The 16,273-nt window shown below is 36.7% G+C and overlaps 2 annotated features.

The window, feature by feature from the left end:
• Positions 1,403–2,602: an enhancer, noted in NCBI's record as "P300/CBP strongly-dependent group 1 enhancer chr7:55052801-55054000 (GRCh37/hg19 assembly coordinates)". NCBI's record gives its function as "activates an origin of replication core promoter dependent on BRD2, BRD4, P300/CBP, MED14 and CDK7 cofactors, with strong dependence on P300/CBP, by STARR-seq in HCT116 cells {active_cell/tissue: HCT116}" and the evidence as "EXISTENCE:reporter gene assay evidence [ECO:0000049][PMID:35650434]".
• Positions 5,325–5,824: an enhancer, noted in NCBI's record as "H3K4me1 hESC enhancer chr7:55049579-55050078 (GRCh37/hg19 assembly coordinates)". NCBI's record gives its function as "activates a minimal SCP1, AML or CMV promoter by ChIP-STARR-seq in naive H9 embryonic stem cells {active_cell/tissue: H9 hESC(naive)}" and the evidence as "EXISTENCE:reporter gene assay evidence [ECO:0000049][PMID:30033119]".

The following is a 16,273-nucleotide window of genomic DNA, read 5'->3' as shown; positions in this document are numbered from 1 at the left end:
AAAAAATGGGCAGAAATAATTGTAGAACAATAAAATCAAATTACATGTGTTATTTTGAAATAAATTATATTACATTTAATTTTACTTGAACTTAAAAGAAACTAAAGTGAAATTAGAACAACTGAAATTTATTTTTATCTTGATTCTAAATTATCTCTTTAAATTTAAGCAAAGGTTATAAAAACCTTTAAAAGACCATTATTTTGATTAACTAAGCATTTTAGCATTAGGCTTTAGTTATTTATTATCCTATAACTCCCCATTTTTCTTATTTATATTGTTATTTAATTTTAAAATTTTTATTTTGAGATAATTATAGATTCACATCTACAAAGAAATATATGAAATAGTACAGAGATTCTGTTTAGCCTCCATCCAGTTTCCTTCAAAGATAGCATCTTGCATATATACATTATATAGTACAAAATCACAACCAGGAAATCAACTTTGATGCAATCCACTGACCTTATTCAGATTTCATGAGCCTTATATGTACTTATATGTGTATGTGTTTAATTCCATGCAATTTTATCACATGTGTAGATTTGTGTGACCACCACAAACCAAGACGCAGAATAATTCTATCACCAGGATTCTTCAAGCCTTGGCACCAAGAATGTGTTCTCCATCCCTGTAATTCTGTCATTTCAAGAATATCACATACATGGATTCACATATTAGGTAACTAACCTTTTGATACCGGCTTTTTTCACTCCACATAATCCCCCGAGATCCATCCATGTTGTTGCATGTATCAATATTTCATTCCTTTTTATTGCCGAATACTATTCTGTGGCATGAATGTGTCACTGTTTGTTTAACCAGTCACCTGGTGAAGGATATTTAGGTTGTTTCCAGTTTTAAGGTATCACCAGTAGGCATCTATGTACACTCATGTGCAGGTTTTTGAGTGATTTTCAGGGACCCCCCCCGAATAGACACATGTGAGTACAGTTTCTGGGTTGTATGATATGTGCAGGTTTAGTCTTTAGAAACCGCCCCACTCCAGGATCAGTGGACTATTTTACATTCCCACCCGCAATGTGTGAGCCATCCCATTTCTTTGTGTCCTTACAAATGTTTGGTATTATATTAAGTGCTCATGGTAATCACAGTTACATCCTTTTCTATAATCACTATTCACCACAATTATTTCTTTCCATAGTTATATACTTAAATGTATTGAATACTCAGTACCATAAATGCTGTGTTTGGATTAGTGTAGGGATCTTATGAAGCACTTTTGTTGCGCTTTGTGTTTAAAAATCTTATTTAAAAAAACTATTGATGCAATAATCTCTCTAGATTCTTACGTGTTTGAGAACTTCTGTGGCCTTTCTACCTGAAGGAGAAATTTACTGTGTAACAATTCTGGTGGGCAGTTTCATTTATCTTCTGGCATTTCTGGTTACTATAGGAAACCCTACTTCCTCCCCAAAATGTAACTCGCTTTTTTTCCCCCTGAATACTTACATGATTCTTCATCCTTGAGATACAGTAATTTCACGGGCTGTGCCTTGTTGTGTGTTCTCCAGAATGTGTTTCTTGTGGGTTAATCTGCATTGTGAAATATTTCCTTATTCCAGAAAAGCCTTCTCATAGCTTTGAATATTTTCTGTTTACTTTTTCCTGTTCTCTTCATAAGAAATAACAATTCATTTAGCCTCTGGCAGACCCTCTTGGCTTGGAGTCCATAGGAACAGCATTTGACACAGCTCTCCCTAGCATCTCGTGGTGCTGTTGTGGTCTTCAGGGGACACTCACTGTCCCTAAGACCTCAGGGCATCTTACAGCTCAACCTATGGCTGACATCTCCTGACTGGGAACCCTCTGTCCTGCTCAGCCACACTTGAGTCTTGGCCCCAGACAGGCAGTGGCTGCCAGGTGAGCTTCACTGCTTGTCACATGGGTTTGTACATTTCTTTGAATTGTTTATGAAGGGTTCAAGGAGGGGGAATAAAACAAAATGACAAGGTCCATCTGAATAGGAGAGCTCGGCCCTCTTCACCTCGCTGTCCTCCTGCTCCAGGCAGTGTTGACGCAGAGCTGGATAATCCTTATGGAATGTTTGGACAAATGAGCAGATGCAGAAGTGATATTCTGCACCAAGCAGAGTCATCGAAGATGAGAGTGGCTGCAATCAGCTAAAAGAAATCACCAAGACTGGCTCTGACAACTGTGACTGAGTGAGTCATGAAGAACTCATTTAATATTTTTGACCATTTCCTGAATTGCCCACATACAAACCCAGTAAATGATTCATTGTTATCCATTCTCATTGTGAAAATTGCTGAAATAAAATGATCATTATGGTCCAATAATTTTGGTTGCAGCACTATTCACAACAGCAAGAATATGGAATCAATCTAAGTGTCCATGAACGGATGAAAGGATAAAACAAATGTGGTATACACACAATGGAATATTATTCAGCCATGAAAACGAATGAAATCCTGTCATGTGCAGCAATATGGATCCTATCATTTGCGGTAACTGGATGTTAAGTGAAATAAATCAGGCACAGAAAAACAAATATCACATGTTCTTACTCATATATGCAGATAAAAAACTGGATCACCTGAAGATAGAGAGTAGATTGGTGGTTATCAGAGTCTGGGAAGGGTACATGGGGAGGGAGAGATGAGAGAGAGAAAAAAGAATCTGAACATAGTTATTACCACTCAACTGTACTCTTGAAAATGGTAAAGAGGGGATCCCATTGAGTTAAAAAAGCTTCTGCACAGCAGGGGAGACAGTCAATAAAGTGAAGGGACAACCCACAGAATGGGAGAAAATATTTGCAAACTACCCATCTGACAAGGGATTAATAACCAGAATATATAAGGAGTTCCAACAACTCTATAGGAAAAAGTCTAATAATCAGATGAAAAAATGGGCAAAAGATCTGAATAGACATTTCTCAAAAGAACACCTACAAATGGCAAACAGGCATATGAAAAGTTGCCCAACATCACTGATCAGAGAAATGCAAATCAAAACTACAATAAAATATCATCTCACTCCAGTTAAAATGGCTTTTATCCAAAAGACAGGCAATAACAAATGCTGGTGAGGATGCGGGGAAAAGGGAACCCTTGTGTGCTGTTGGTGGGAATGTAAATTAGTGCAACCACTACAGGGAACAGTTTGGAGGTTCCTCAAAGAACTAAAAATAGAACTGCCATATGACCCAGCAATCCCACTGCTGGGTATATACCCAATAGAAAGGAAATCAGTGCATCAAAAAGATATCTGCACTACTATGTTTATTGCAGCACTGTTCACCATGGCCAAGATTTTGAAGCAACCTAAATGTCCGTCGACAGAGGTAGGGATAAAGAAAATGTGGTACATATACACAGTGGGGTACTATTCAGCCATAAAAAAGAATGAGATCCTGTCATTTGCATCAACATGGATAGAACTGGAGGTCATTATGTTACATGAAATAAGCCAGGTGCAGAAAGACAAACTTCACATGTTCACACTCATTTGTGGGAGCTAAAAATGAAAACAATTGACGTCACAGAGATAGAGAATAGAAGGATGGTTACCAGAGGCTAGGAAGGGTAGCAGGGAAGTTAGAGAAGTGGGGATGGTTAATGGGTAAAAATATGTAGTTAGAGGGAATTAAATAAGATCTAGTATTTGATACCATAATGGGGTGACTACAGTCAACAATAATTTATTGTACATTTTTAAATGACTAAAAGAGTATAATTGGCTTGTTTGTAACACAACGACATGAGAAATGCTTGTGGTGATGGATACCCCATTTACCTTGATGTGATTATTGCACATTGTATGCCTGTGTCAAAATGTCGCATGTACCCCATGAATATATACACCTACTATGTACCCATAAAATTAAAAATAAAACATTTAAAAATAGTAGAGATGGTAAATTTTACATATATATTTTACCTCAATAAAAATAAAATTAAAACAGCAGCAATGAATAAACAATATAGCTATAAAGAATATAGCTATCTTCATTAAGTTTCTAGGGTCTGCCAGATTTTAGCTGTTACAATTACTATTGGAATTTTATAGGTAAGAAGAAGAAAATGACTTTCTAGGTGGCAAGCATTCTATGGCCACAATAGCATCTCGTTCTGTAAGTTTTCTGATTGACCCTGTTCTTAGTGTTCAACGTGGGACTGAGAACGTGGGTAGGACATCAGGGCTCTAATTTTCTGCAGATGCTGATAAAGTCTTGGTAAATAATTGTAAAGTTTAGAATCCTGAAATTCTTTTGTTTTAGTTGTCAATGTTCAAGTAAGTCTTTATTAAACGTAACAAATGCTGAGTTAAAAGAGAAAAAAAAACAAATGAACAGGGAAACTTTAGACATTGCTGCTGGGAATCAAAGAGGTACAAGTATTGGAAATGGAAACTATTTGTTAAAATTAAAAATTTATTTCCTGTAAACCGGTAATTTAACTTCTAGATATAGAATTAACAAATTCAAGCCCACATGTGCCAAAAGACACATACAAAGGATTATAGCTGCATTGTTTGTAATTGTTGCAAATTAGAAACAACCAAAATGTCCACCATGAGTAGAATGGATGAGTAAATGGTAATTCATATGAGTAAAAGCTATCTATTAATTAAAAAGAATTAACTAAAGCTACATGGATCAATCCACAAACGTAATTTTCAGTGAAAGAGGTCAGGCTCAGATTAGTGAATGATGCATTATTCTTTTGACAGAAAGTTTGAAGCCAGGCAGAATGGACCCCTGGCATCAGAAGTCGGCATGGTGCTACCTTGGGTTGAGGCAGGGGGCACGGAGCTGCTGGGTGCTGGCTGTGTTTTAGTTCCTGGCATGTGAAAGTTACGTAAGTAGGTTTACATTTAATCATCAAGTTGTTCATTTTTGATGTGTGCACTTTGCTGTTCAGTAAAAAGTGAAAAAAAAAATGTAAAAACAAACCAAGAGGACAGATTTTAACATGGGAGTTTGGAAACAGAAGAGGAAATAGCAGTGGAAAACAGACCTCTGTCTGTCCGTGTATGAAAATTGACAAGACTAAACATCTTAGGAGTAGGAAATGAGGACTCTTGAAACCGAGACACATGTGAAGGGAATCCTAACAAATGACCAACATATTAGCAAGGTATTGGAGTTGCCTAGGGCAGCACAGAGAGAGCGGTGTGTGAACAAGTTTTAAAGATCACAATGGGATGAAAGACTTAAGCGGTGGATCTGTTTTAGAGGCAACCTCTTATTGTATGATCAGACAGTCTCGTCGTAATGATACAACGAATTTCATGGAGGGAAAATAGTAGGTCCCTTGTTTTAAAAAATAGTCTCATCAAATGCATCTGTCTCTGAGAGCAGAGAAAAGGAAAATTACAATTAATGAAACGGAAATATACAGAGGACATTCAAAATAATCATGTGGAAAATCATATGACAAACATCAAAAAAAGTCAAAAACAAAAGGAAGAGACAACGGTATAAAATAAGCCGTAAATAACATACATGTTATGATTGGATAACATCAAGTGCATTCGTCACTACGCTAGGTGGGGTGGGTGGAGGTCATCCCCACCTCCTGGCCAGCGCACATGCGTGCAATCCCCTCCCCTTCGTGTGGGCTGGGCCAATGACTGGTTTCTAAGAATGGGACACAGCGGAAGTGATGGCTGTCACTGCTGAGGTTAGCGACATGAACACTGCAGTTTCAGCCTTGGGCTGCTGTCTCTGCGCTGAGGGGAGCTGGCTGCCATGTCCTGAGCTGCCCTGTGGAGAGGGTCACGTGTCAAGGAACTGATGTCTCCCACTGTGGAAATAAATGAAGACCACCCAAATAAGAACAGGCAAAGGCTGTTTATTCAGAGCTGCTATAGCAAGGGGGTCCATGGCCATCAGTTGCATCCTGACAGACTCAGGCAGGCAAGGAGTGGGGAAGCTTCACCGTGGAAAAGGGGAGGCTTCGGGTGCCCTGGCAGGGGCTGTGGGCCTGAGGAAGCCGGGGGCGGCTGGTGAGAAGTGGGCATCCCATGGGACTGGCTAGGGGACATACTGGGCTTTCTCTGGTTGGCCCTAGATTGGAAGCAGGGATGAAATCTAGGAAACTGTGAGTTATTAATCAAGTCCTGGCTGTTTGGGTCTGATTATTACAGACTGCAATGTTTAATTTCCCATGTTATTTCTAGAGACAGCAATCTGAATTCCTACAAGCCTGGCATGGAGCAGGCTGGCCTCCCTGGCTGGTTCCTGTAGATGAAGGCTTGGCCTCCTGGGCTGGCTGCTGCAGGGGGTGGGTGGGAGTTCTACTCTTATAGATGCTCTGGCCATTGTCCATTTGTGTACTCAGTCTCTCACCACTGAGAGCCAGCAAGGACCCAAGGCCTGGAAACAACCTGGCGAGGGGTCTTGGTTGTGGGTCCTCCCCGTGAGCGTAGAAATGACCGCATACCAGATTCAACTAAAAAATAAAATCCAGCTATTATCTGTTTGAAAGAAAGATTTAAAATATGATCAAAAAAGGTGGGAAAAAAAGATGAAAGTATTAGGTCCAGGAAATGGATGGGGAAGGGGAAAACATATATGTGAAACTATAAAAATATTTAGCTTTTTTGGCTACAAAGTAAAACATTAAAAGTAAAAGTTATTAGTCCTCATTTCTCACATGATGGGTGAATGTTATTTTCATTTTCATAAATTTTTGCTTTCTAATTTTCTTACGCTGAACGTCAAATTTCTGATCAGGAAATACAAGGAAATAAAGTACTCCTCCATTTTTCCTGGGTCCTTCCTCCTTATGCCTCTCTCTTCCTGTCTAAGCACGGGGTCCCAGCACCGCCTCTGCGGGCTCCTTTTCTCAGCCCCTCTTTTTGGTGCCTGTTCCTTCCTGCTTGCAGCCTTTGGAAGCCGCTGCTCTTCCGCCCATGTCTGCGCTCCCTCTGCCCGTGGATATCGCTTGCCTCTCTCTTCCTGGCCAATGGGGTGGCCCTGCCTTCATAGCATCTCCGGTTCTCTTCCACGGCGCCCGAGGGCGTCCTGGGGGGAGAGGCCTCCTGGGGATAGGCCTATGTTGCTTCCTCCCTGACACACACCCTGGATCCCCGAATGCAAACTATGTACATGGATAGGCTAAAAAACAAGCTTTTGTAAATTAGTAAATAGTGTTTGAGTCAACTGGAAGTCACAAAATAATGTTTGTTTAACAAAACTAAATGATTATCCTATTTATTCAAATATAAGACTGTCGGAAACTATTCTGGGAAGTTCAGATATTGTAGCCAAAACATATACAAAGGTAACATACCGGCACAGTAATTGGAATGCAGTCATACTGGCATGCCCCTAGACAATTAAATCAATGGAACCAATAGGGTTTGTAATTATAATTATAGACCAATGACATATTAGAGTATAATAACTGATTATTCGGGCTGGTTGCAGTGGCTCATGACTGTAATCCCAGCACTTTGGGAAGCCAAGGCGGGCGGGTCACCTGAGGTCAGGAGTTGGAGATCAGCCCCATCAACATGGTGAAACCTCGTGTCTACCAAAAAATACAAAAATTAGCCGGGTGTAGTGTTGCATGCCTGTAATCCCAGCTACTTGGGAGGCTGAAGTGGGAGAATCGCTTAAACTCTGGAGGCAGAGGTTGCAGTGAGCCGAGGTAGCAGTGCACCACTGTACTCCAGTCTGGGCAACAAGGCGAGATCCTATCTAAAAAAAAAAAAAAAAAAAAAAAAAATTATTCAAGGTAATTTAAAACACCTTGAAAAAATAAATAGGTACAAGATTAGAGAAACTGGCTAGCAAATCATTCATTCAATTACTTATCTAGCTATTAATAACAAATGTGTATTAAACACTTCCTGCTAGTCTGTTTTAAGCTGTAGGGTAGGGATAAGGCATTGAACAATAGATACAAAATCCCTGCTGTCACAGAGCTTATATTCTGAAGTGAGAAAAAAAAATTTAAAAATTATAATTTATTTAAGATTTGAATAGAAAATGAAATGATTGGAAAACTATCAGAAAATGTGATAAAGAATTAGTTTTGATCATTTATTACTCTGATAAATTGTGAAGAAAAAACAGATTTCATTATATACAATATTATTTTCTTATTTAAAACTTGTCACTTTCTCTGATCATAAAAATAATGTTTGTTTATTCCAAAAAATGATAAAGTGAGATTTCAAATTACTAGGCAGATGATGTTGGAAACTAAAATAATTGGTTTAAAATGTAGACGCCACATATAAAATAAATTCTGCTGGAATAGAATTCAAAATTTTTTTTAAAAAAATTAAAAAACATAAAAGTGGTAAGAAATAAATAGGTTGTTCCTAGGATTTGGGGGAGAAAGCCTTCCTAAATAGGTCAATAAATCTACTACAAAGGGAGAGAAATGGCAGTTTTAGCTACATAAAAATATGCCAATCCTATACCATCACGTATACACCATAAAGAAGTTAAACTAAAGATGTGGACTCCAATGAGAACACCAAGGGAAGAAGGTATATTTGCAAGAGGGAAAGGCTGGTTTGTTTAAGTTATTCTAGTGTTCACTGACTGTCTAGGTGAGGAGGATGATTCTGCAAAGAAGACACAGAATCTCTTGCAGAGGTAACAACAAGACAGTGTGGCTCATGGAAGCTAAGAAAAGTGTTTTCAGAACGGGGAGAGAACTGAAAAACAACTGTTTGACTTGGCAACCCCACAGCCCTTGGCGGTCCTGGGACATAATGCTCTCCATGAAGCCACTGGGGTGAAGGCGGCTTGGAATGCATTGAGGTATGGGCAGGTGTGAGAGACAACAAATAGAGACAACGCTAGGTACGTTTCTAAGGGGGAGGAGAGGTTCTTTCATAGCAGGACAGGAACAGAGATAGAGGTGGATTTGCTGTTTTTGAATGTATCCTCTCTGAGCTGATGGGAAGGATCCTGCCATAAAGCTGACTTGCAGTGGTCCTGGACTCACAAGGCCCTGCCCTCGGGTTAAGGCTCTGCTGCTGCCAGCTTGAAATTCTTTATCACTTCTGAGCCAGCTGTTCTGCATTTTCATTTTGCACTGGGACCCACAAATTATGCACCTGGTTCTGCATTACTGAGAGGGAAAAACTTACTACACAAACGCAACAAAAGCTTCTATACTAATCAGTGGGGTGGAGAAGCTCCAAAGCCTAGGTGAAGAGATTGGAGAATTGGCAGTGTCTTTTGTAATAGGAAGGAAGTGTGACTACACAGGTTAGTTTTATCAGTTTCTTGTCCAGGTGACAAAGGTGTGTTTTATTTTTAAAGTAAAAAGTGTAAGCATTTGTTGTAAGTGCTGAGGATGAGGGTGGCGTTGTTAGCTGGGTAACAGCGAAACAGATTTGAAGCAGTAAGAGTGAGATTGGAGGAGCCAGAACGACTGAGGGCCTGTGAAGACTGCTCAGTCAGAGTTTATGTAGGAACCTCTGAATTTTTATTGAACCTTCTCTATACTTGTTGCCTGAGCAAAGGGATTTTTCCAGGTGGGTAGAATATAATGAAAGACCGTTTAAGGTACTAACAGGAGTGCCAGTGACATGACAGACCAAGGAATCTAACTGAGAAAATGAAAGAAGTTAAGAAGTGTTATTTGGAAGGTTGGTATATCCCTATGTGCATATGGGATATTTTTAGGGAGATAAATATTAGTGATACACATACATATTAGGGATTTTATATATATATAGTTGTTTACTGAGCTTTATATAAATGTTATAGTACATACTGTATGTAATCTTTTGAAAATTGATTTTTTCAACTTTGTATTTTTAAGACTCATCAATATCAATTCCTGTACCTATAGTTTATTCATTTTCACTGATACATAATATTAATTATACAAATACACTGATATTTATTTAACTATTCTTCTGTCTAAGGACATTTGTGTTGTACTGTATAAACATGCTGGTACCTGTCCCCTGAGAAACATGCCCAAATGTTTCTCTAGGTATACCCCTAAGAATTGAATTGTTGTATTATAGGGTACGTGAATGTTTGGATTAAAAAAATTTTTTTTTGTATAAATTTATGGGGTACAAGTGTAATTTTGTTACATGGATAGATTGAGTAATGGTGAAGCCAGGGCTTTTACTGTATCCATCACCTGAATAATGAACATTGTACCCATGAAGTAATTGCCCATCATCCACTCTTCTCCTGCACACTCACCCTCCCGTGTCTCCACTGTCTACCCTGTATGTTCATGTGTACACATGTTTAGCTCCCACTTATAAGTGAGAACATGAGGTATTTGTCTTTGTGTCTAAGTTGTTTCACTTAAGATAATGGGGTCCAGTTCCATCCCTGTAAAGACACGATTTCATTCTTTTTATGGCTGAATAATATTCTTAATATGGCTGAATAATATTGTATATATGTACCACATTTTCCTTATCCAATCACCTGTTAATGGACACTTACATTGATTCTATATCTTTGCCATTGTGAATAGTGCTGCAATAAACTATGAGTGCAGGTATCATTTTGATATAATGATTTCTTTTCTTTGAGTAGATACTAAGTAGAGGGATTGCTGGGTCAAATGGTAGTTTCATTTTTAGCTTTTTGAGAAATCTTCATACTGTTTTTCGTAGATTGTATTAATTTACATTCCCACCAATAGTGTATGAGCACTCCCTTTTCTCTGCATTCTTTGCCAACATTTGCTATTTTTTGTCTTTCTGATAATAGCCATTCTGACTGGTGTAAAATTATATCTCATCGTGGTTTTAATTTGTACCTGTGTGAGAATTAGTGATGTTGAGCAGTTTTTCATATGCTTTTTGTCCATTTGTACATCTTCTTTTGAAAAATGTCTATTCATGTCCTTTGCCCACTTTTTAAGGGGATTGACTTTTTGTTGCTGAGTTGTTTGTTGTCGAGTTGAAATTCCCTTGGAATTTCCCAAGGAAGTCCCCTGTTGGATGCATAGTTTGCAAATATTTTCTCCCATTCTGCAGATTGTCTGTTCACTTTGTTGGTTATTTCTTTTGCTGTGTAGAAGTTTTTAGTTCAATTAAGTCCTACTTGTGTATTTTTTGGTTTTTGTTGCCTGTGCTTTTGAGATTTTTGTCATGAATTCTTTACCTAGGCCCATGTCCGGAAGAGTTTTCCCTAGGTTTTCTAATACTATTTTTAGATTCCAGTCTTACATTTAAGTCTTTAATCACTCTTGACTTGGTTTTTGTATATGGAGAGTTAGAGATCCAGCTTCATTCTTTTGCATAAAGCAATCCAATTTCCCTAGTACCACTTACTGAAAAGGTGTGTCTCCCCAGTGTATGTTCTTGTCAACTTTGTCAGAATCAGTTGGCTGTAAATATGTGGTTTTATTTCTGGGTTCCCTATTCTGTTCCATTGATCTCTGTGTCATTTCATACTAGTACCATGCTTTTTTGATTAATACCAGTTATTCCTCAAAAAATGATTGTACCAATTTACGTACCCATTGGAAACGTATAAATTCTTGTTGAATCAACATTCTTTCTAACACATGGTATATTGGACTTTTAAATTTTTACCAATTTTGAGTAGGTATAGAATGTTATCATTATTTTCTTATTTTGACAACAATGTCTTATTGTGTCCTTATTTTGAAAATAAAATAAAACATCTTTAATTACTAATGAAGTTGAGAAACGTTTCTTTTCTTCTTCCTTCCTTCCTTTCTTCCTTGCTTCCTTCCTTGCTTGCTTCCTTTCGTTTCCTTTTTCCCATTAGTCTTCCATCTATTCATGTCTTTTGCCCATTTTTCTATTTTTTTGGTCTTTTTCTTGTAGATTTATAAAGTTATTCATATATTCAATTTGTGAATTATTTGTGGGATATTGTCACAAATGTCTTCTCCCAGATTGTGGCTTGTCTCTTGAATTTCTTTCTTTTCTTTTCCTTTTTTTGTAAGATCTAGTAAAACATGTATTTCTCTTTCAACTTTTTTTTAAAGGTGTATGTAACCACGGGTACAAGTGCAATTTTGTTACACTGATAGATTTCATTGTGGTGGAGTCAGGGCCTTCAATAAGGCATTCATCACTGGAGCAATGCACATTGTAACTGCCAAGCAACTTCCCGTCATTTTTTTTCATTTTTTTATGATATATACATCTTAAAGCTTAAAATTTTGCCTTTCATGTTTTGTTTCTCAATATATCAAAATTGTTTTTGTGTAAAGTAGGGATAAAGTTTATTGATTTTTTCCAACCATTTCTCCCAGCTTCATTAATTCTATAGTCCCTTTTTTCTTAATTGCCTATACTTCCATCTCTATCATATATAATATTTTCGTGTATTCATTAGTCTGTTTCAGGGATCTCTATTCTGCTCTGCTGATCCATGTTTCTGTTCCTGCACCTGTACCACACTGTCTTAATTACCAGAGAAACCTTATAGAAAATCTTGAAATCTGATGGCCAAGTCACCCCTTTTCCACCTGTCCTTTCTCTTTCTCATCCTCTTCCTTCAGGAGCATGTTGATTGGTTTATTCTCACATTTTTTTTCCCATGTAAAACTATAAAGCAGCTAGTCAAGTTCCAGGACAAGCTCTAGAGAATTGTGATCGGAATTTCTTCCACTCTATATTTTAATTTTGAGAGAAATAATATGTTCACAATACTGAGTTTTTTAATCCAAAATACAATAATTACTTATGTCTTTCTTAATGTTTTAAATTAAGTTTTTGTAAATTTTCTCATAGAGATCTAACACAATTTATGTTAGACTTTTTCTTAGGTGACTTAAAAATTTTGTTATTATTTTTATTATAAGTATGTATATAGCTAAGTGTATATGCATCTGGCTCTGCATATATATGTAACATATACATATAACGTACATATGTACATATAACATACATATGTGTATAACATATATAACATATATGTTACATATATAGGCATGGTATTTTTTAAGCCATACATTTTCTGATTGTTGATGACATATATAATGCATTTACTGGTCAGCTACTTAGTAAACACTCTCATTATTCTAATAATTTTTTCATGCATTCTTTTGGATTTCATATGCAGAGAGTTATATCCAAATAATGAGAGCTTTGTTTTTTATAATTGTTATGGCTTTATTTCTATGTTTTCCATTACTGCTCTGGGGAAGATCTACAGTGCAAGGTTGAATGAGATTGTGATAATGAATACCCTATCTTGTTATTGATTTCTTTTTTTTTTTTTTTTTGAGACCAGAGTCTCACTTTTTCACCCAGGCTGGAGTGCAATGGTGCGATCTTGGCTGACGGCAACCTCTGTCTCCTGGATTTAAGCGGCTGTGCTGCCTCAGCCTCCCGAGTAGCTAAGGTTACAGGTGTGCGTCATGACGCCTGGTTAATTTTTTTGTATTTTTTTAGTAGAGACAGGGTTTCACCATGTTGGCCAGGCTGGTCTCAAACTCCTGACTTCAAGTGATCCACCCACCTCAGCCTCCCAAAGTGCTGGGATTACAGGTGTGAGCCACCATGCCTGGCACATTATTGATTTTAAGGATATTATTTCAAAGATATCACCATCAAGACTGACGTTTTATGTATAACCTTTTTGTAAATAACTCTTCATCAGGCTAAAAAAGTTTCTTTCTATTCTGAGTTTGCCAGAAATTTTTTTAAAAAATCATGAATAGAGATGGATTATCAAAATTTGTTCTGCATCTATTGGTGGTCATAAAATATTTGCTGTTTAAGTATTTAATGTCTTGAATGGTATTTATAGTTTTTTTTAATGTGAAAGTACTGGCATTTGCAATTTGCTCATGATATATTATCTTTGTTATATATTATTGGATTAAGCTATGATTTTAATTATTTATAAATTTTAGTTATGATTTATTTTATGTATATTTGTAAAGAAAAATTAATTTAGATTTTTTCATTTTTATACTGTTCTCTCTAGTTTTATTATAAAGTTATATTGGCTTCATATGAATTATAGAGTTATGGAATATTTTCCTTTTTTTCTCTATTTTCTGGGAAAAGTTTTATAAGTTTGAAATAATCTGCTTCTGAAAAGTTTGTTTAATTTGTCTGCAAGAAAGTTTGAGTCTAAAATTTGGAAACATTATTTTAATTTCTTTCTAATTATAGGAATATTAAGGTTTTTAAAATTTCGTCTTGAACTTGTTTTTGTTTAGCTATATTTTTCTAGAAGTTTGTTCATTTTACTTGTTTTCAGATGCATTGGAATAAGGTTATTTTTAGTAATTTCATTATTTCAATCTCTTTCCTACATGTAGGCATGCCTCCCTGTTCAGTTCTATCATATACTAGAGTCTGTTTTCTTGGCAATCTCATGGAGGTTTACCTCTTTTATTAAACAGTCTTTTCTAAGATCCTGCTTTTTTGTTGTTCTACTTATCTTCTCTATTTTATCTTTGTTTTCTATTTAGCTGATTTCTGCTTTCAAATTTCTTGTACTTCTTTTTTATTGTAAGCATTTAGAAATATACATTCTGGTAGTATGTGCTTGGTAAAATTTTCAATTGTTTTAGTTTCAACTCTTCTGCATTCTTATGATTTAGGCAAGCCTTTTGCAAGCCACATAGAGATAGACTCATTTTATTCTTATTTTTAAGCCAGCCTGACATCCTCTATATTTTAGTGGGAGAGTTTAGATCATTTATATTTATTGTGGTCACAGATATATTTGAATTTGTTTCTCCCATTTCATGTTTTTTGCTCTTCATTTATTCTGCTTTGCTGTTTCTTTTTTCCTCATTTTAATTCTGTTTGGTCTTCAGTGTGTTTGGAAGTTTAAAATTCTATTTCTCTTTTTCTGGAGGCTGAATTTTAAAATGTTACGTTGTATATGGAACTAAGTCTAAAATTAATATCTCAACGTCTCTACCCACTGCTGTGGGATACTTGCAACATTTTAACTTTGAATACTCTTTTTTCCTTACATTTATTGTTGCCCAAGATTTAAGTTTGTTTTACTTTTTAACTCTGAAATTAGACATTATTTTTATTACATCTTAGAAGTTTTGCTTGTTTAGATTTATACATGTTTGCCAATTTCTTTTCCTGCCATTCTTTTGTATCTGATAACATCTTTCTAAGTTTATTTTCTACATCCTGAAGAACATGCTTTAGAAATTTCTTTAATGTAGATGTATTGATGGTAAGCTTTCCAGTTTCTATTTATCTAGAATTTTTTTAAATTTTACTCTGGCTCTTAAAATATGGTTTTTCTGGTTACACAGTTCTAGATTAATAGTTGTTTTCTTTCAGCCTTTTCAAGTATTTTTCTATTGTTTTTATTCTCTTATTGTTGAGAAGTCTACTATCAGTCTTACAATAATTTCTTTTTAGGTGTTTCTTTCTTTCTCTCTGAACAGTTTTAAGACTTTCTATTATATTTGGTATTTTGCAGTTATTCTCCAACATATATGGAAATTCACTTTTTAAAATTAGTTCTGATTCCCCCCAGAAATCAGAGCCTAACTGACACACAGTCTTGAAGGCAGGTAGTTTATTTTGGGGAAATAGAGGCCAGGGAGAGGAAAAATGAGATTGGAAAAATAGAATAAGGATGTAGGGAGACCCAATGCAAGGGTACGTTATTGATCTAATCACTTTTGTGGAAACTTGGGGCTCAAGCCCTCTGGGACGTTCTGAGTGCTTTTTAGAATGTGCTTCAGAATTGGCTGTGTGGGCATGCACTAGGGGAGGGAGCATTTATCCACCAGTTTCTGTTCCCCAGTGGTCAGGATTATTCTATTAAATGCTTACCTCCTTGAATTTTCAGGTTTGGTGCATGTGTGGGTGCCTATCAGGTTCCCATATACATCAGAGAAGTACCGGACAAAAAGCAAGGTATATGAGTTGCAGCTGAGGCATGATGCTGCCAGCTGTCCCTGCAGAAAGATGGTTGCTGCAGCAATTATTATAGTAAACAGTAGCCAAGAAGATGTGAGGCAGGGTAGAAGACGTGTCCTGTACATTTTACTTTTATTTTTCAGTTTAATATATGTTTTGCATCATGAATCTGTATATTTTTCCATAATTTCTGAAAATTCTCACCCATTTCCTTTTCAAATATTGCCTCTCCTTCATTCATTTTCTCTCTGTCTCTCTCTGTGTCTGTCTCTCACTCTCTCTCTCTTTCTCTCTGTGTGTGTCTTTGATCTTTCTAATATCTTCATGCTCATTCCTGATCATCTATGCCCACTTCCTGCAGGGTGAGAGTCTGCCGTCTGTGCCTGCTACTGCACCTCTCTCGTGGCTCGCCTCCTCGGGCTTTGTTGGTGTTGGTTGTGGGCTT

The sequence above is a fragment of the Homo sapiens genome, chromosome 7 (assembly GCF_000001405.40).
Source record: "Homo sapiens chromosome 7, GRCh38.p14 Primary Assembly".
In the NCBI taxonomy this organism is placed as follows: Eukaryota; Metazoa; Chordata; class Mammalia; order Primates; family Hominidae; genus Homo; species Homo sapiens.
The sequence above is the reverse complement of the archived record's forward strand: the minus strand, read 5'-3'. Positions and strand labels throughout refer to the sequence as shown.